The sequence below is a fragment of the Homo sapiens genome, chromosome 5 (assembly GCF_000001405.40).
Source record: "Homo sapiens chromosome 5, GRCh38.p14 Primary Assembly".
NCBI classification, from domain to species: domain Eukaryota; kingdom Metazoa; phylum Chordata; class Mammalia; order Primates; family Hominidae; genus Homo; species Homo sapiens.
This window is the reverse complement of record NC_000005.10, coordinates 133,463,344-133,483,961: the sequence shown is the minus strand read 5'-3', so window position 1 is coordinate 133,483,961 and position 20,618 is coordinate 133,463,344. Positions and strand designations below refer to the sequence as shown.

Sequence of the window (20,618 nt, the reverse complement as noted above, 5' to 3'; positions counted from 1 at the left end):
AGCAGGAGTGGACATTCTCGCTTGGAGGCCTGGCAGGCTGCAGGGAGGAGCCACAGACAGGAAAGCCTTTATAGCCAGCACCTCTGTAGTGCAGAATGCTGGGCAAGGCCTTGCCCTGGGTGAGAGCCAAGGAGGCAGCCTGGGAGCTGTATAACAGAACTGGCAGCAGGAAAGGATTTTATTTCCTGCTGAGCATGTTCTGCCCCTACCCAGAGGCCCCTACCTGCCCTGGAGACCTACTGATGTCTCCCACTACCATGTCCCGCCTGTGCCTTACTGAAACACAAAGACTTATCATGAGAAGCTCCGAAGCACCAAAAGGAAAAGGCTGGATCATGACCTGGCCTTGGCCTCCAGGCTAAATAATGAGGCAACTCTGAAGCCAGTGTCAGAGGGTAAACTGTGATGAAAGAATAGATGATAACTAGCCCATCCACGGGGGACTGGAGTGCGCTTAAATGGTCAGGCTTTAAAGAGGGTCCAGTCAGAGCCCCAGCCAGCTTATCCTAGCCCTTTTATTGGGATGGGTGCTAGGAATGGGCTTCTGCAGTCCACACACATGTAGGGGCATGTACACTTGCATCCCTGAACAAGGCCGGCCTTCTGTCACATGCCCTTTGCTGGGCATTTGTGCTATCTCTGTATTAGTTCATTTTCTTATTGCTATGAAGAAATACCCAAGACTGGGCAATTTACAAAGAAAAAGAGATTTAATGGACTCTTAGTTCCACATGGCTGGGGAGGGCTCACAGTCATGGTGGGAGGTGAAGGAGGAGCAAAGGCACATCTTACATGGTGGCAGGCAAGAGTTTGTGCAGGGGAACTGCCCTTTATAAAACCATCAGATCTCATATAAGTCTTATTCACTATCATGAGAACAGCATGGGAAAAACCTGCCCCCATGATTCAGTTACCTCCCACTGGGTCCCTCCCACGACACATAGGATGATGGTAGCTACAATTCAAGATGAGATTTGGGTGGGGACACAGCCAAACCATATCATTCTCCATAGGTGGCTTTGGTCCATGACAGCCTGCAAGTTCCTTTTCAATGCTCAGGCCTGGCTCTTTGGCCCAGGGTAGTCTGGATTATCAGCAAGGGGCCCAGGAGTCATCATTCCCAGGAAATGCAGAGCTTCCCTGTAGGCTTGCTCTGAAGTTCCCTCCTGCCAATTTGTACAGCTGAGGGATCTCAGAGCCCCTGCCCTCCCTGGGAGGCCTTGGGATCCCCACTCTCGTGCATACCAACACCTTCTCCTTACCTGCACACCCTGCAAGCCATGTGCTGTGGTGAGACAGCCCCTGCCACCTGCTCACTCTCACCATAGCTGGGGCCCCTGGCGTCTGTTTCTGCTGTGGAGCTGTGAGGCTGTGCTGTGGGTGGCCTGGCTAGTTCTCTGGCAGGGAGAAGTGCACCATGGGCAAGGTGAGGGGTCAGCCTCTGTAAGCCCTACAGCATTCTCTGGAAGCAGTCCATTTCTGTGAACTCTTGAGGGCCTGCAACAACCATGGCTGAGCCCAGACTAACCTCTGGGCAGCCCCTACCCTTGCCAGTTATGTTTCATGGGAGCCTGATTATTTTTAACAGATTCTCCTATTGTTTCAGTTGCTTGTAGTAAATGTTGCTCTGCAGCATTGATGCTAGGGTAGTGCCAGCCAGAAACCTGTGCAATGCTCAGATCTGGCTCTTTGGCCCAGGATAGTCTGGATTATCAGACTGGGTTTATTTTTCTTGGCATTGCAGTCTGGCTTCCTGATTATCTTTCAAACACACATTTGCATGGCATTTCCTTCCATACTGAGCAGATTCCATCAACAGTCTTGGGATTCCACTTTTCCTTTGCAATATGGACGTTTTTGCATCAGTTTGCATTAGCTGTTAGTGAAACTGGCACTGCATCTGCAGGCAGACATCGCCAGACCGCAGCACAGTTCATCTTCAGATGTTTTCCTTTTCCATGTTGGTGGCAGCTTCCTTTGCTCCTTCCCTCCTTCTCAAGATAAATTCCCCAAAGCTTGGACCCAGCACTTTCTGCCTATTCTCATGGTTTTTGTTGGGGTATGAATGCCTTAGATGGCACAGAGAGGCATTGGAGATTTACAGCCCTTTTTATTATGACTGCACTTGAGCTGCTGTCCCAGCAGCAGACCTCTTCCTTTTGATGACAGGTCAATTGGTCAATTCCGGGTTGCTCTGTTGGCTTCTTCATCAGACTGTAAGCTCCATGTAGGTAGGGTCTATGTCTGACTTGTTCACCCTTGTGAACCCAGACAGTGGTCCAGAGCCTGGCACATAGTGAGCACTCAATAAACATTTATTGAATGTACAAATAAATAGAATGTTCTTTCAAGCTGAGCAGCTGACTACCTGTGATGAGTTCCCTTAAAAAAGCTTAATAGCTTTTTTTTTTTTTTTTTTTTTGAGACAGTCTCACTCTGTCACCCGGGCTGGAGTGCAGGGGCGCAATCTTGGCTCACTGCAACCTCTGCTTCCCAGGCTCAAGTGATTCTCCTGCCTCAGCCTCTCAAGTATCTGGAACTATAGGTGTGTGCCACCATGCCCACCTAATTTTTGTATTTTTAGTACAGATAGGTGTTTTGCCATGTTGGCCAGGCTGGTCTCAAACTCCTGGCCTCAAGTGATCCACCCACCTCAGCCTCCCCAAGTGCTGGGATTACAGATGTGAACCACCGTGCCTGACCAATGCTTGATAGCTCTTGAATGATCAGTCTCAGAAATAAAACTTGCAATCCAGATTAACGCCAACCAAGAGTTAAACATCTCAAGGCCAGAGAGCAACATGCTCACTGCTCATGGAGTCACATGTACTGACCTCAGGACATCCTTGGTAAACAGCGCAGTGCACAGCCCCTGGCAGGCTAGCTTGTTAGGGCTTATTAGGCCAACAGCCACGGTCCCTTCCAGCCTGGGTTCCACTGGAACCCAGCGGGTTACTCGGACCGCTGCTATGTCATGGGCTGGCCTGCCTTCCTCCACACACGGGGCCGTAAATGTGATGTGCGGCACCTGCTGTTTGGTGTCGGGAGCTGCTCTTTTCTTGGAAGTTTTGCTGAAAGGTAGGTGAAGCCTTAGGGAGAAATCTCATTTAAAAATCAAGTTTCCACTTCCCAGAGAAACAGAAGAACTATCATCCACTAAAGCATTTCTTCAGGATCATGAAGAAGGTTATTCAGCTGGGGTGGCAGCATCCGGAGCAGAGGTTTAAGGTCTAGATGTTAGATTGCAAGGGGACTGCCCAGAGGCCTCGCTGGGGAGAATACAGTGGAAAACATTGAGGCAGAGGAGATCCTGGCTCCCACCGCGTCCATACCAGGGCTCTGTCACCCTCTCTCCAGGAGCTGGGCCCACAAGTAGAACCGGCTTCACGTTGATCCAAGCCAGGTATAACCAGGACAAGGAGTGGCTGGGGTTGAATCAGAGAATGTCCCCTTAGGCAAAACCTTGGTGACTTTGAAAGCCATGTGTGCTATTCCAGAGGTCTCTTATACCCACACCTCTCACCTTCAGTGCCGCAGGATGACCATGAAGCACTTTGGTGGTATTTTAAGTGCCTCGGTTTCTGCGAGAAACTCAAATAGTAGTAATGGCAAATATTTACATATGGCTTATTCTGCACCAGGTACAGGTCTCATGGTGAAAGGTTAATATTATGGTCCCGATTTTGCAGATGAGGAAACGGAGGCTTACAGAGGTGAAGTAATTTGCCCAAGGGCATCAGGCCAGTTAGTGGTGGAGCTGAGATTTGAACCCAGGCAGTCTGGCTCCAGCCTGTGAGTCCCTCCCCATCTGCCTACTGCATGCGGGGGTGGTATGACCAGCAGGGTCAACTTCGCCTGGGGTCCACATCTGCCTTTCTCCCTTGCATTCGGTGTTAGGTCCTGTCACAAACATTGTCCCATTGGATCCTTATAGGGAGGGTAGAGTGTCCCCGTCTTTTCTAATTTTTTGGAGTTTTTATTCAATTTATTTTGTTTAAGCAGATAAAAGACACATTAGCCACACTGCTGTGCATTTCCCAAAGACCACAGGAAAAAAACTCAAAAACTCATGGCATTAACATAGTATTTCATTTTCTAACAGCTTTATTGGGATATAATTTACATGCCAGAAAACTGATCCATTTTATGTACAAGTCAATGATTTTTGGTCTGTTTGCAGAATTTTCTAAAATTAGTTTGTCACTACAATCTAATTTTAGAACATTTTCATCACCTGCAAAAGAAACTTGATGCCGATATCCAGGCACCCCCATGCCCACCCCAGCCCTAGGCAACCCCTAACTCACTTTTTGTCACTGTACTCTTGCCTCCTCTGGGCATGTCTCACATGGACTCATACACAATGTGTCACTTTGTTTCTGACTTTCTCCACTGGGCACAGTGTTCTTGAGGTTCTTCCATGTTGTTGCATGTCTTTTGGTTGCTGAATCATATTCCATCACATGTGCCACATTTTGTGCATCCGTTCATCGGCTGATGAACATCTTGGTTGCTTCCACTCTTTGGCTATTGTATTACCCTCTTTAGATGGAAAAAGAACTGCATCCTAGAGAAGTCTTACGGCCTCGGTATAGACATCATCAGTGGAGTCTGGCTGGCCCAGGCCGGTGCCTTCTGGTTGATTCACTCAAAATAGGTGTCGAAACTGACACCTATTTACTCCTTTTTTGTGCCCAGCACTGGGCTCAGCCCTGGGAGCCCTGCAGCAAGTAAGACGCACATGGTCCCCGCCTTCATGGGATTGTCATGCAGGCAAGCAGTAAGTGAGCAAATCAAGGCAGGTGAGTGTTAGGTAGTGATGAGTGCTGGGAAGGAAATCAAATAAGATAATGTGGAGACATATAATAAGGACTTTAGAATTTTTCTGCTTTTTAATTTTAGTTAAACTTCTCTCAATTTCTCCCCGGCAGTAGACATTTCTATTTTACTTAAAGAATTATCCAAATACATTTCACTTTACATGGAAAATGTGCAAAGATTTGAGAGGTGAGAAATCATTTTTATCTGTATGCTTTAGGGACTGAGACACTGCTGTGGATGGGGCGGCTTCTCTCCATACTTTGTGGGGTCAGTGAAGGACTCCTCGCTTCCCTCTGCCACCCCTGCCTAACAAGGCACCCTCCTTTCCATTTAGCAATCCGGGTCATCGCAGAGGCCTCAATAGCCCCAAGCAGAAACTGCACTCGTGTGTGTGAGCAAATTACCCCAGTTATCTGGCCATGTAGAAAGCTACAGTTTTACTCTTCATGAAAAATTAAAATCTTGTCCTGATCTGATGTAAGGAAAAGGATGAGGCAACTTGGAGGAACTCAGCTATTGTTGATCAGGCAGATGATAAACTACACATTTTCTTGACTCAGGGGATCAATGGAGAATCTTAGAGAGAAACTCACAGAAGAAATTAAGATTAAATTTGCAAGCCTGTAATATGGGGAATGCATTCTAACAACTACAGCAAAATAAGGCTCTCTCCTGAAAATGCATTATTTATCCCCGCCTGTTACCACAGCTACGGATGCTCCTTCCTGTGGTCTGAACCCGAGTGGGTTATGGAAGCAGTCCAGAGACAGACGACTTGCTCACCAATACAGTTAGAATTTCAGATGAGCAGTCAAGATATTTTTAAACTGTTTGTGTGTATAGCCACACCATAAATCGTGAAGATGAAGGTAGCTGAGTGAGCCTAAATCCAAATGGGGCCACAATGTGGGCTTTATGCAGCATACATTTTATTAAGAGAAAAAAAATCAGGGAATCGGTTATGTGGCTCATTCCCACACATTTTTCATTAGTAATATCTTGGAAGAACATCAAAAGTGGTTCTTGGTTCAATGGGGACCTTCAGTAGAAGAACATAATTTGCCTCCTAATGAAACTCACTCACACAACGATATGTACCACAGTGAAAATCAGGAAGAGATACTTGTATGGCTGGCATTAATGATTGGCGTCTCCCTCAGATGTCATCGCTGTCAAAGCCACACTGGCCAGACAATGGGAACTTTCCAGTAATTGAAGCATAAAGTGACATGAAATGTCCCCAACAAGAGGTATGCCTCAGTACCTAAGACAGAGTTATTAATTTAATTATTTGGGCAAATTTCTGTCTGAATTCTCTGGAAAATTGGCACTTCTCAGGAAAAGAAAAAAAAACATTTTTTGCAGAGTTTTGAAGATAAAGTTTGAAGAAGATGCTTTCAGAAAAGTTGCCGCCCAAACCAAATAAAATTTCAGCAGGTTGTTCTCTAAGAGAAGAGAAGCAGACAAAACATTAAAGGGTCATTTTCCCCCCGTGTCTTCCTGAGAAGAGAATAACTTGAGTCCATTAAGAGCGGGGTTTTGGGAATCACACAGCACTGTTTGATATGCAACTCTGGTGGCCTTGGGCAAGCCACATGTGCTCTCCAGCCTCAGTTTCCTTATTTGTAAATTGGGAACATAGTTAAACCCTGTCTCCATAGGTTTGCTAGGAGGATTAAATGAGTTGTATGAAAATCATTGAACACAGACTAGCAGGCCTAAAGTAAATGCCCAACATAATGGTAGTCTATTGAAAAGACCTAAAAAGAATGGAATTTGTTAGAATAGTAGAGCAAATGAGAGAGAAAATGGCTGAACTGCTTATTGGTTATCTGTGAGAAATTTGACTCCTTTCCTTTAGAAATCAGAGTAGTATTTGTATAAGCCAACTAAGCTATCTGCAGATTTGAAGAATATATTTTAAGCTTTTTCTTTTTCTTTTTTCTTTCTAGATTTTTACTCACTAATAATTATTGAATCATTTAAACATATTTTAAACCAAATTTTAAACCTAAATAGTAGGTAAACATCTTCATGTCAATAGTATTAGTTTGCTTGCTTCTTAAGCAAAATGCTGACAGCAGAATAAGGCTGCAGGGGCACAAAAGTCTTCAATAAGAAAATGATTTACTGAGGACGTACTGTGTGCCAGATGCAGCCCCACCCCCAGATGTTGAGGCACTTTGCCTAAGAGGCCAAGGTCATGGGTGTAAACTTTAGGTGGGTCAGTTAGATTCATTCTGATTGGCTTGATCCTTCTTCAGGTGAAGAAGGATCCCATGACCACCATATATGTATATATAAAGATGGCTCAATGAGTGTCTCACTGACTCGGGGTCAGTGAGGTCCACTCTACAGAGAAAGGACAAGCTCTGACCCTTGAATAGGGGAATTGTAGTTGGGTAAATAGGGCTCAGAAGGACATGTTGGACATGGACAGAGATTTCTCCTCTATCCTGAGAGAATGGACATATGTCAGTGAAGGTGGAAATTTGACATCTGTGCACTTTTTTTCTGTGTGAGTTTACCAAGGAGGTAAGTGGCTAGGCTATAAAAAATTCACAGAACCATTCTCCACAACAACTTCTCTCTAACTAGCTTTCCCATCATGCATGAATATTTACACCTGCTTAAAATGCTGGGGATTGGAGGAACAAACTTTGTTCTCAGTCTTAAATTTTCCTGAGAGCTATGAAAGCATTGGTATAACAATGTGCTGCTAAACTGAGGGCCTTGACCAGTGTTCATGTCAAGCCCATGTCAGCCATGCATGAAAACCAAACTGCAATGTGGTATACACAAGACAAGGCGGTCGAGGGGCCATAAGCTCGTTGCCCAAGATGTAGCACTCACTAGCCGCCCAGTTCCTTCATCTTTTTGTAACTGAGCTTAATGGAATTTGCCTCAAGCTGAATGACAGAGCCTCCAAAGGTTTGGAGACTGATTCCATTTGGTTTAGCTGTTCAGCAAGCCTCTTATCCGGGAGTGATGATCTCATTTTTGCCCGTTTTTGCCCCAGCAGCCTCTCTCTTCACACCTTTCTGCTGGCCTCAGCACCTTTCTTTGCCTCTGCTACTTTCCTTTTCTCTCGTCCTCCTCCTTTCCTGAACTTTGCTTCTGCTGTGCACCCCTCACCCACCTTACCCTCCTGCCACCTTCTCAGAGAGCCCCACAAGATAAGCCTTATTCGCCCAGACTCCTCTGGAGGGTGGACATTAAAAGCCAGTTCCACCACTCAGAGCTCCTAGAAGGCAGGAACTCTCACACACGCGTGAGAGCAGGGTAGCAGAGGTGGCTCACGAATGCAGATTCACTCACAGGCAAATTGTTGAAGTAGCGGGGAGGGCTGATTATGCAGACCACTCCAAATTCAATCTCCCAGTTTATGTTATCACAGGAGCTCATGATGGAAGCACCACCCGATAATTCCGACTTGCCTATTACTTATTCTTTATCTAGAGGAAATAAAGAGAAACAATTACCTTGGTGTGACATTCTGCCATGTCTACAAAGCCACCTGCACCTGAGACTTTGCCAGCAGCAGAAATAACGAGTTAAGTGCTAAATATTTCATAGAGAAGAGAGTAGCAGGGCTATTGAAAATAAATTCAAAAGACCTTCATGTATTCTGGTCATATATCCCTGGCATAAAACTTCTCCAGAGATAAAATAGCTTTCTGACAGGAGGGTTGTGGCAGGGGAGGGGGAGGCACGGTACAGGGAACAGGGAAGGCAGCCCTGGAAAACCCTCCTGGCCTCCCCGTTCCCACGGTCGGACGCCGCCTTTGTGAAAGCATCTTTGAAATGATTGAGGTTGAACTATTACTGCAGAGCCCTTTTCAATAATGAATTTTAAATTATAAATGACATTTTGGTGTGTGCCCTTCTCTCCCACCTATTGGTAGTTAACTGGGAAAATTGATGCGGTTTTTGTCAGGACGGAGCAAATTCTCGGGAACAGGAGCCTGAAGCTTAGTTTTAGTTCCTAACTGAGACATGTGACGGACGTCCAGCTCCCCTGCTTCCCATACTTAAATGCCTGCCCGGGCCATGTCCTGGGGCCAGCCTGGGCTGCACACGAGGCTCACAGCCTGCTTGTGACACATGAGCTGAGGCATTCCTTTTTATTCTCTCTCTGCTGAGGACAGCCTTTGGGAACCTAACATTAGGATGACTTCGGGGCCACGGAATGACTTGGGTTTCCCCGCGAACACTGTGAGGCTGAGTTCCCCCATGGGTGTTGGGAGCACCGGGAGGAAGTGGGTGCCATCAATTAAAATTACGGGCCTCGTTCATGAGATACTTATCAGTCAAAACTGCAAAGCAGTTGCTGTTTGTTTACTGCGTTTAAAGGAAGCTGCTAAGACAGAGGAGAGATAATTTAAGAGTAATCATTGGTGAGCCAGTCCTTTCCACTGACCCTGGTGCTCGGAGTTTTCTCTCATTGCATCAACCATTTTTGGCAATTAGATGTGCTTTCCTTATTAATGCCAGGGTAGGGAAGCAGAAAATGAAGGCTCTTCCTCACAAGTAGCTGCTTAATGTTGCAGTGCCTGCCTGTAAGTCACGAAAGCCATGGAGTTTTGCCCATCCTTGAGCACAGAATGCCTTTAATGACAGCTACAGAATAGAACCATTAACAGAAATGAGCAAATCCTGGCATTTTCCACTGGCCTGTGCATTTCTCAGTGCACTGATGGAGCTAGGGACACTCCTTCACGGGGGCTACAGATGAAAATGCCCAGCCTGAACCTGTGTTCCGGGGGGTGCTGTGCTCTCTAGCTGGGCACTGGCACTTGCAGTTCTCAGCAAGAGCCTGGCCCTGTCTCCCGTTTGTTCATTCTTGGGCAGCATGCGTGGAGGACGTGATGAGAGAGGGTGATGCAGGGGTCAAAAACTGGGGCATGGAGGGATTGTGTGAATGTCCCATTCCCTGGTTATTAGGCACCACCTGTATGCAAGAGGCCACCCCAGATGCTGCACTCCCCATGTCTCAGCTCCCCCTGAAGATGAGCCTAAGGTGGAAAGAAAATACAGCAGGCGGAGTTGAGGTGAGATTTAGAATCTGTTTTCTTTACTGTGGGTTAGATCATACCATCCCTGTAGCAAGATGACATGGTTTGGCTGTGTCCCCACCCAAAATCTCATCTTGAGTTGTAATTCAAATTGCAATCCCCATGTATTGGGGGAGGGACCTCATGGGAGGTGATTAGATTATGGGGGCAGCTCCCCCATGCTGTTCTTATGATAGTGAGTGAGTTCGCACAAGATCTGATGGTTTTATAAGGAGCTTTTCTCCTCTTCACTCTGCACTCATTGTCTCTCCTGCCACCCTGTGAAGAGGTGCCTTCTACCATGATTGTAAGTTTCCTGAGGCTTCCCTAGCCATGGGAAACTGTGAGTGAATTAAACCTCTTTCCTCTGTAAATTACCCAGTCTCAGGTATTTCTTCACAGCAGCATGAGAACAGACTAATACCTAAGATTTCTCTAGAGATTCTATCTCTGTTATTACACCTTTCTTAGAGATTCCAAATGTGGAAGACTCCTCTATTCAAGCATATGTAGGTAATGTGTTGACGCGGAGGCAGAGGTCTGGCCTAATAACCTCTTGACCCCCTAAGCAGTTGGGCAGCCCTCACCACACACTGCATGTGTGGTGCTGCAGCGTGTGCTGATGGCTGTCGAAGTGGTTACGGGGTCAAGCATGACTGGTCGGTGCTGATCTCAGACCATGGGAGGGACACACTGCATGCAGCTAGGAGCCACTTTGTCCAGTCACGACCAAAGGGCCAAGCATTCTACCCTGTCGCTGATACTGCAGACCAGCTGGTTAGGAGTCAAACTGCCAAGCAGCTGACATGCTTTGACGTGTCACCTGTACAAAACACACCATTGATTTTTTTTTTCTTTTCTTTTCAAATCAGAGTCTCTCCAATAGCATCTGAAAACTGTAGAAACAGAGCACTAGATTAGAACACATTGGACAGGCAAGGTTATCTTCTCTAGAGAAGAAATCAACAGCTGCCCCTACTGGGAGGAAAAGTGTCTAAAGAAACAGGGAGGGGAAGGCGTGTCAGAACTGGAACTAGGTGATAAACCCTGCAGGAGTCACAATAGCCTTTGCTGAGAAAGCAAGGTCATGGGCAGGAGCTCCCCCTGCCATGGCTTGTGAGTGTGAGTCCAGGCAAGGTGAACAGTACAAGAGTCAGGGCACAGTGGGACTGGGAGTACAGGCACCAAGGCCATTGCCCTCCAACCCCTGCTACACACTCAGGGACCTTGGGAAAATCACATCCCTGTTCAAACCCTGGTGTATTCATCTTTCAAGGCTGGGGTTAGACTTGATGACCAAGATGTCCTTGCCATGTCAGCATTTGGATGGTCTTCTATCATTTGTCTATAAGCTGATTCTGAAAGTTGAAGACAAATAAATCGCATTTACATTAGTATGACTGTGAGATGCCAATGTTGGAGAGTCAAATCATGTCCTAGTATTTCATTTAGTTCTCTATGCATCCAGCATACCAACTCTGAGCCATTCAGTGAAGACTCTTTTCTGGTATCAGGCTGAAATAAATTCTCCTTTTTTACCCTCCATCAATTGCCTTCCACATATCCTCACATTTTCTAGGCATTCACTAATATGATTTCTTTTATCATCAGTTGTGTTTTTTATGGAGTCCTTTCTTCTGGAGCCTCTTTTTCTTATTCTAATCTAGAATGTTCTTTTTGCTCGCACTCTCCTTCCCAAGTTATCCTGAATTTCCTTTCTTGGCTTGCACTTTCTCTTTTCTGGGGTACACCCTTATGTTATTTCCTGAGAAAGTGTGCACAGGAGTTCCACTTTCTATTACTCACATATTTGAAAATGCTTTCATTCTGTACTTGTACTTGATTGACAGATCGGCTGGATATAGAATTCCAGGTTGAAATTTTTTCTTCTAATAGTCAAGATAGTATAACTGCTATATAACCCCCAAATATCAGTAGTATAATACAGTTTATTGTATACTCACAGCACAGCCTGCTCATTCCCCTGATGGAGTGCAGGAGTTCTCTGCTCCACACGGTAATTCTGAAACCAGATTCCTTCTATAGTGTGGCCCCCAAGGTCACTATGGACAAGGATGAGAGGGAGATTTGAAAGAACATGGAAAAGGCCCAGCAGCTCTTAACTGATCCAGCCCAGAGGTGACGTATCATTCTACTCACACCCTGTATGTGAGACCTAGTGGAATGGCCCCCTCTAGAGCAAGGGGGATGAAAAGTGTAGTGTTAACTGTGTATCCAGGAGAGAAAAACCACACCGTCATACTTTTAAAGGCATCATCTTTAAGCAAGCAGTGTCATTGGTAAAAAGTCCAATGCTAGACTGATCCTTATTCCTTGTGGGTGACCCATTTAATCTATCTGGAAGCTATTAGGATCATCCCTGTGTTAGTCCACTGAGGCTACTATAACAAAATCGCATAGCCTGGGTAGCTGATAAACAACAGAAATTTAAAATTTCGGTGGCTGAGAAGTCTAACATCAAAGCACTGGCCAAGTCAGAGTCTGGTGAGGGCCCACTTTCTGGTTCATAGATGGCACCTTTCAGCTGTGTCCTCACATGGCAGAAGGGGCAGAGGCCTCTCTGGGGTCTCTTTTATGAGGGCACCAATCCCATCCATGAGAATTCCACTCTCCTGACCTAATCACCTCCCAAAGGCCCCACATCCTAATACCATCACCTTGGGGGTTAAGATTTCAACATATGAGTTGAGGGGGACACAGCATTGGGACCAGAGCAATCCCTTCATGAACCCTTTAAGGTTCATGAGAGTAGAAGCTGATTCACTCACTTATCTCCAGTTTCTATGCCTGGCACAAAACAGGGCGAGGATCAGAGTGAGGCAATTGAGGTGCGTGCCTCCAACACAAAGACGCGGTAGTTAAAACAAATAATATTTTAATGCAATATTTTACAAATCAAAATTAATGCAAAAAAATCCATGATGAACAAAATAACATTAATGTCCTTGATGTTATAAAATTTTGCAATGATGTGTCTGACTTTGTGGTTCCTTTTGTGGGTCCTTCAGCCTAAAGACATATATCCTTCCTCAAATAAAAGCAATTATAATTTTCTTAAGCAACTTCCTCTTCTCAGGTTTCTGTCTTTCTAAAAATCTTAATTGCATGTGAGACCTCCTGTATCAATATTTTCTGTTACTTTTCTCTTAAAGTGTCTGTTCTATATATTTTATTCTATATTCTGGAAAATTCTCTTGGCTTTATCATCTGATCTGAGTATTGAACTTTTTGTTTCAAGACTCATGTTTTTATTTATTTATTTTTATTTTATTTTATTTTATTTTATTTTATTTTATTTTATTTTATTTTATTTTATTTTTGAGGCAGAGTTTCACTCTTGTTCCCCAGGCTGGAGTGCAGTGGTGCAATCTTGGCTCACTGCAACCTCCACCTCCTGGGTTCAAGCGATTCTCCTGCCTCAGCCTCCTGAGTAGCTGTGATTACAGGCACGCGCCACTACTCTTGACTAAGTTTTGTATTTTTAGTAGAGACGGGGTTTCACCATGTTGGCCAGGCTGGTCTCAAACTCCTGACCCCAGGTGATCCGCCTGCCTCAGCGTCCCAAAATGCTGCAATTACAGGCGTGAGCCACTGCGCCCAGCCTAAGACTCATGCTTTTAATTTTCAAGCACACTTTCTTGCTTTCTGATTCCTAGAAGTGGCATCTTGTTGAAACCGACTGAGGATACTAGTTTGCAGTGTTTGGCTTTCTTTGGGAATTATGCTTTTACTTTTAGTTTTCTTCTGTCACATGGATTATCTCTGTTTGGGTTTTATTTTTAGTCAGCTGTCATTGTTTGTTCATCTGTTTGTTTTCAGCTCATCTGTGGTACTGCTCTGTGTGTTTTCTGTTGCGGGTCTGGCAATTCTTGGTTGTCCACTCCAATACGGAAGTAAGGACAGCACAAGGGTTGACTGGAAGCTCTTATTCCAGGGCAGGGCCTGTCAGCTGGCAGTTTCCACTTTAGGATGAGCAGGCTGGGAGCTGGGTGTCACGTGAGCAGCCCCTACGCAATGCCCTTCCAGAGTATGGAAGGTGCTAACACCCACAGGAACCACCGTGGTTCTCTGCGGGCTGTGGATTCCATTTCTTTAGGCAAAAAATTCTTCTGTTTTTTTTTTCTGCATAAGAGAGTTTTCCACATATAGCGCTTCAATTTTTCCCCATCCTTATCTTGACTGTGCCTCTGAGGGAGGTGTTATTTGGAGGTGGGCTCCCTGTACGGCGGCTGCCTCTTCTGCATATGTTCTGGGCTGTGGGCTGTGGACTGAGGTGTCCTCTGTCCTGTGCGCCAGTGAATGTTCTGGAAATGTACTTAAATCCCTTGCTCACCAAGGGTGCCTCTTCCACTATCTTTACTGTTGTAATTTACTCTTTTAAAGACATTGTAATTGAGTCTCAGCAGGCGAAAGAAATGCATGTACCTACCCTGTCATTTTGAACCCTCTCCTTTTGTTTTTAAAATGTTTGAAACATCTGGCTTTCTAATATTAGTATGTGGCATTCCCAGTTTAACATGCCCAAAGCAAAGCTGTTCCATCCCCTCTGCCAGGTCCAACACTATCTGCATCTCCTCCAGTCATGCTGGCTGCAGGGAACAGCACCAAAATTCACCCACTTGCTTAAAGTGGAAAACTGGGTCATCTGTCATTCATCCCTTTCCCAAAGCCACATCTCAATGCAGCTCTGGTTATGAGCTCTTGGACTGTTCTCTTCTCCTTGAGCAGATCTTGCCAACAGAGTTCCTGGCTCCATTGCATCCCTGGCCAATGCAGCCCACGGTCTTCAGAATTGGCGGCATTGGGTCTCCCAGCACACAGAGGAGAATCTATCACCTTGATCGCCATTCGGCCTCTTCACAATCCGGTCCTGAGGGGTCTTTCTAACCTTACCTCCCTCTGCTTTCCTCTGGCTCCTGCCCTCTGGCCAAGTGAGACCAGCAGTCCCCTCTCAGACACATCTTCTGCTTTCACATGTCTGTGCATTTGTTCAGCTTGAGATGCACTGACTTCTGTGAGGTCAGTGCAAAAGTAATTGTGGTTTTTGCAATTAAGAGTAATTATACCTGCCTTTCAAATACTGCCCTTCCTTTAGGGCCTGGATTAAATGCTATTTCTCAAGAAAGTTTCATGATTCCTGCACTTGTAGGGAATCTCTCACCCCCTCCACCCTCTCAGCTCTTCCCTCGTGTGTGTTATTGTGTAACGTATAGGTCATTCTGCATGTTGGTTGGGTAGCCGTCTGTTTCCCGCACTGAGCTGGAAAGTCCTGGAGGTGAGCTTGGTCATAGCTGGCCTGCCTGTCAGAAGTCCCTTGGCAGAGGTTGCAGCACAGGAACAACTGGGGGAGTTTGCCCGGTGCTGCCACACTGAGTCTCAGGTCTGGGACCTGGACCTTAGGCTGGGGTGTGGCTTGCTGAGCAGCTGACCTGCGGCCTGAATGGTGGTGCTGCTGATACAATGCTGACATGGCTAGAGGGAGAAAAGGCAGTGGCTCCGTGGCTTGGGCTCCTCTGCCTTAGAGGGCAGGTCTAGTAATTCTCTCAGAGAAACTTCGAGTCGGCCTTCATAAGAAAACAGAGGAAGAGATGAAGCCACAGTCACCTTCTTCCATTCTTAACTCACCCTAATACTGCTGATCACCTGTCTTGGAAATGAACCAAAATACAGACAGCCACAAACCACATCCAGCTTATCATTCCCACCCATCCTGGACTGTGGCACCCAGGGTCTGGTTCTAGCTCAGTGGGATGGAGTCATCTGCAAACCAGGAGAGCGATGCCCTGGGGCAGGGACACCCACAGGGCACTAAGACAAGACCCACAGAGCCCTTGTTGGTGCCCAGAGGTCCTGTGCTGGGTGGGCAGGCCTCCCCCTGCCTGCCTCCCCCAGCCTTCCCCATGGTGGGAAGTAACTATCTCTTATTTTCATCTTCCCAGCAAGAGGAGCTACAAACAGGCTACCAAGTAAGTCACCTGGTGCCTGGTACACCTTCCCCTTGCTGAGAGGCTCCTGCCTGTGAGAGGACAGGCAAATTGCTCCATAAATTATGAACCTGGAATGAATCTGCCAGGCGCCTCCTGTGTGGGGTTGAGGTTGTTCCCTAGGAGTGCCCCATTCTGAAGACAATTACTCTAATTGCTTTTGTTATTTCAGAAAACAAATTAAACCACCCGAGTGTTTCAAGGTAGAAAAACGTCTGCAATGTATAAGAAACATTTTAGGAGTGTTTAGTTCACAGCCAGCAGTGTCTGAGCAAACAGCCAGAAAGCAGTCACCAGGGAGCACAGGCTGCTCAGGAGGTTGAGGCCTTTATGAGGTGAGCCGTGTGCTCCATCGGGGTGGGGGTGCAAGCCTCTACTCCTGGCTTCTCTGAGGGAACTCCTGCCCTTCTCTCCCCCTTGCCTGCAAGACCTATGGATTCTGTCTTCTGCCCATCCCCTCCGTCACAGCCTTGACTCAGGCCCACCCTCTGTGACCCAGATTTCTGCAGCAGCCCCTGCTGAGGTCACTGTCTTCCTCCCAGCTGCCCTCCTTTCAGTCGCAGTAGGGGCGGCCCAAGACACAAGTAACACAATCAGATCATAATTTGCCACTTCTTAATGGCTTTGTGGCTTCCTGTAAGCTAGGAGACAACGTATCAGACAACCCTTGGCATCAGGGAGGGGAGAGCCAGCCTCCTCCTGCAGGCCCAGCCGTGGGAAACCTGGCTTCTCACACCTTCACTCTGTCATGCCACTGAGCCTCTGTCCCAGGGAATGCAGTGGTGTACACATACACACTCACACACACACACACACACACACACTCACATATACTCATTCTCACACATGCTCATATACACCCTCATATACTCACACACTCATATACTCACATACACGCATACTCCCACACTCATACACTCACTCTCACACACATACACATATACACACACACACCCACATACATATTCAGACATATATACACACACACTCTTACACTCACACATACACATGCACACATACATACATATACTCATACAATCATACTCTCACATACACTCACACATGCTCACACACTCATACACTGTCACATATACATTCACACTCATACACATACACACACATACAGTCACTCGTACTCACACACTCATATTCTCACACACACTCTCACACTTACACACACACACACTCACACTGACACACACACACTCACACTCTGACCCTAGACTGCTCCTCATTCCTCAGGCCAGGCGTCCTTCCCTGTGAAGCCTTCCCCAGCGTGCTGGGCTTAGGACTTATCTCAATTTCACACTGTCTTGCATCCATTTGTCTCTCTGTTGCCCTTGCCAGATTGTGAGCAGCCTGAGAGAGGCAGGGCCTTGCCCTGTTCACTTTGTACTCCTGTCATGTGGCAAAGGGTCTATTTATTACTCAGAGGGAATTCAATAAATGTTGACCGGATACATGGTAGATGGGTGGATGGATGAACTTTGAATGAATGAGTAACCCTGAGGATTGGTAAATGTTCTTTTTTTTTTTTTTTGAGACAGAGTCTCGCTCTTTCGCCCAGGCCGGACTGCAGTGGCGCTATCTCGGCTCACTGCAAGCTCCGCCTCCTGGGTTCACGCCATTCTCCTGCCTCAGCCTCCCGAGTAGCTGGGACTACAGGCGCCTGCCACCGCACCCGGCTAATTTTTTGTATTTTTAGTAGAGACGGGGTTTCACCGTGTTAGCCAGAATGGTCTCGATCTCCTGACCCCATGATCTGCCCGCCTCGGCCTCCCAAAGTGCTGGGATTACAGGCTTGAGCCACCGCACCTGGCCGGTAAGTGTTCTTGTCCCAAGGAATTCTTCTACCTCAACTCCACTCAAAATGAGAACCCTGGGGAAGAGAGAGATTGATGGATTGGCTCATCAGGGACTCTGTCCCCACCCTGCCCCCTCCTTTCCCATATGGGGAGCAGGATGTGGTGAGAAACTTGCTCAAGAAGTGGGTAAACACTTTGATGGCAGAGGCCATGTCCCGTTTCCTTCCACTCACAACCAAGTGAGGGGCACAAATTATTCCTTCCCCCTGCCCCACTGCAGGAAAATGTACAAATCCTAACTTAATCTCTCCCATAAGCACTGGAAGCTTGTTGGCATAGGGATTAGAGGTCTGGTCTCTACGATAAGCTAGCCACGATGTTGAGCCTTCAACCATCGATAAAATCACTTGGAAATCCAGTATCCCTGTTAGAGTTGGTTTCAGTGCCCATGTTGCATGCTGCTTTGTCAGGGTCCTCATTAAGACTTTCTTCCTCCCACCTTAGACAGCACTGACCCTCTGTTCAGGCTCACACAGTCGCTGTCACCCAGGCCCACCTGCAGCTGTGCTGCCACTCACCAAAGTCTGAGAGGAACTGCTCCCTTACCAGGACAGTGAGCACTGGCCCAACCCCACTGTGCTCCTCCATGTGTGTGGGGAGTGGCCTCCCCACCCCCTGCCCAGAGCAAGAACTGATTCTGGGTCACCCACCCAGGACTAGAACCCAGAGCTAGTCTGCCTCACTCCTGAACAACCACCGCTCCCACCATGGGCTGGGCTCAGCACCCTGCTTGGGGCTTCGTGGAATATGTGGCATGGGACCTGGCCTCAGGAAGCTTATTCTCTATTTGGGGGGAAAGTAACAAGATAATACAAGACAGCACAGAATCCTGTTCATATTTCTGTGGCACGGTCTTACGGATGAGAGGAGCTCAGAGGAGACTAATATGGGTTAAATCAGGTAGGAAAGACTTTGAGAGGCCATAAGAACTTGAGCCTGACTTTGAAGGGTGGGTAAGAAATAGAATGGGTGCTCCCAATGGAGGGAACACCAGGCAAAGAAAGGAGTGAGCATGGCATGGGCAGAGGCCAGGGGAGACCAATGTGGCAACGCCTTTCAGGGACTAGCAAAGATAGCAGGCCGGACTGCCCTATGTGCAAATTACCATTCATATAAATGACTGATACCCTTTACTGAGAACAAATGAGGAGAGAGAGAGAGTAAATACAAAGTGACTGCATGCATGAATCAATTAATAAACGAAGGTGTCGAGCACCTGAAGGCAGGTTGGAAAATAGGAAGGACCAGCAAAGGTAGGTGGGGGTTGGGGAAGCCAAGCACTGACTTCTTGGGGATGTATTATAGATGTGGTTGAGTAGAGACTGCTCCTATCAGGGAAGGTCACAGAAAGGTCCCACTTAAATTACTAGTTGAGTCCGCTATATTTTGTATGAAATACATACATAAAAAGTATGAAAACAGCCTCTTCTTTTGCATAACCTTTGAGAATTTCCCCGATCAAATCCTGCAGCTGGGTGAGCAACTCCCTGGCTCGACTCTGTGTGGCCTCCAGGTCCAGGGACCAAGTTTTCCCCAGGCTTCCTTGCAGCAGCTTTCTCCCTCCTTCATGGCTGACCTGCACCTCTCCCCTCCATGGGGGGAAGGTAGGAGTATGAGCTCAGTGCTGGAAGCTGCTGTTCTGGGAGAGTTGCTTGTGCCACAGGAGTCAAATGAACTTTTCCCCACGAGGCCGGCCCCTCTGCTGATGCTGTGTTTGTAAAACCAGTAAAGGTTTTCCTTTTGTGAAAGAGAGAGAGAGATATCCCTTGAACAACTGGAACCTTTTAAGCCTGGGCTATGGTTTTGTTTGGGGTATTTGGTGGTGTGGGGGTGGGACTGTCTTTCTCATTATTAAACCAGAAAAACCTGCATATGGACTCAGCAATGAAGAGTGATTTTGTTCTTGGGAAAATGTAGCAGCCTTCAAGTTAGTAACTTGGGCTCTTCTGGGCACCTCCACTGCCGCACCTGGCCTGGTGGATTTGCGCTCAGATAGAGCAAAGGCAGGGCTGGGCTACAGATGTCTTGTGCAGACGGGGAGGGGCGGCCCCAACACTGCTTAGTGTAAGTGTCATCTCAGAAGCAGAGCTTCTAGGTGGAACATCCAAGGGCACCTTGAGACGTGAGACGGTTGATCCATCACAGTTGTGATATGTCAGTGAGTACACACTCCAGGTTCAGGGACTGTCACCTTGGGAGGTGATTGAGACTGAATTCAAAACAATGAATCGATACTGACATGGAAGAATAGTTTGGCAAGAAGGCTTGGAACTGCTCTGCACCAAATTTGTAATGCCAGTGAAGAAGCCAGTCCTTGGCTTCCCCAGCCTCCACCTAACTTTGCTGGTCCTTCCTATTCTCCAGCCTGCCTTCAGGTGCTCAGCACCTTCATTTAGTAATTGATTCATTCATGCAGTCACTTGTATTCGTTCTCTCTCCTCATTTGCTCTCAGGAAAGGCTATCAGTCATCTATGCCAGGATATATTAAAGTCAAACTCCTTGACACAGGATATTGTACTTTAATCTTCATAGCTGTATGAAAAACCCAGTCCTCTGATTATGTAAGAAATTTGTCCTAGGAGGTTGAGAAGCCAGGAAAAGATGAGGGAGGAGAGTGTGCTTTAGGGAACAGACCATTTCCCCTGCCTTGCTGTCTGGGTTTGCACCCCAGAGAAGAAACACAAAGCACAGGTACAAGGGGAAAATGGATGGCCAGTGGTGAAGAGAAATTGCTCTAACACTTGGTTGAACTCAAGTCCAAATACGACAGGGACAGGTAGGGATTTACAGCTGGTGGAGTAAGGGAAAGGATGGAAAATTACCAAGAGGGCTTAGTTTGGTGTAGGGGGTGGGGAACTTGATTAGACTTCTA

At 46.8% G+C, this 20,618-nt stretch overlaps 1 protein-coding gene across 3 annotated transcripts in view, besides 2 other annotated features; it reads left to right on the top strand.

Annotated features, from left to right (window-relative positions):
- Positions 1 to 20,618, top strand: part of FSTL4 (follistatin like 4) — a 645,613-nt gene that overhangs the window by 358,106 nt on the left and 266,889 nt on the right. The gene's annotated exons all lie outside the window — the stretch shown is intronic.
- Positions 830 to 1,329: an enhancer, noted in NCBI's record as "H3K27ac hESC enhancer chr5:132818325-132818824 (GRCh37/hg19 assembly coordinates)". NCBI's record gives its function as "activates a minimal SCP1, AML or CMV promoter by ChIP-STARR-seq in primed H9 embryonic stem cells {active_cell/tissue: H9 hESC(primed)}" and the evidence as "EXISTENCE:reporter gene assay evidence [ECO:0000049][PMID:30033119]".
- Positions 1,330 to 1,831: an enhancer, noted in NCBI's record as "H3K27ac hESC enhancer chr5:132817823-132818324 (GRCh37/hg19 assembly coordinates)". NCBI's record gives its function as "activates a minimal SCP1, AML or CMV promoter by ChIP-STARR-seq in primed H9 embryonic stem cells {active_cell/tissue: H9 hESC(primed)}" and the evidence as "EXISTENCE:reporter gene assay evidence [ECO:0000049][PMID:30033119]".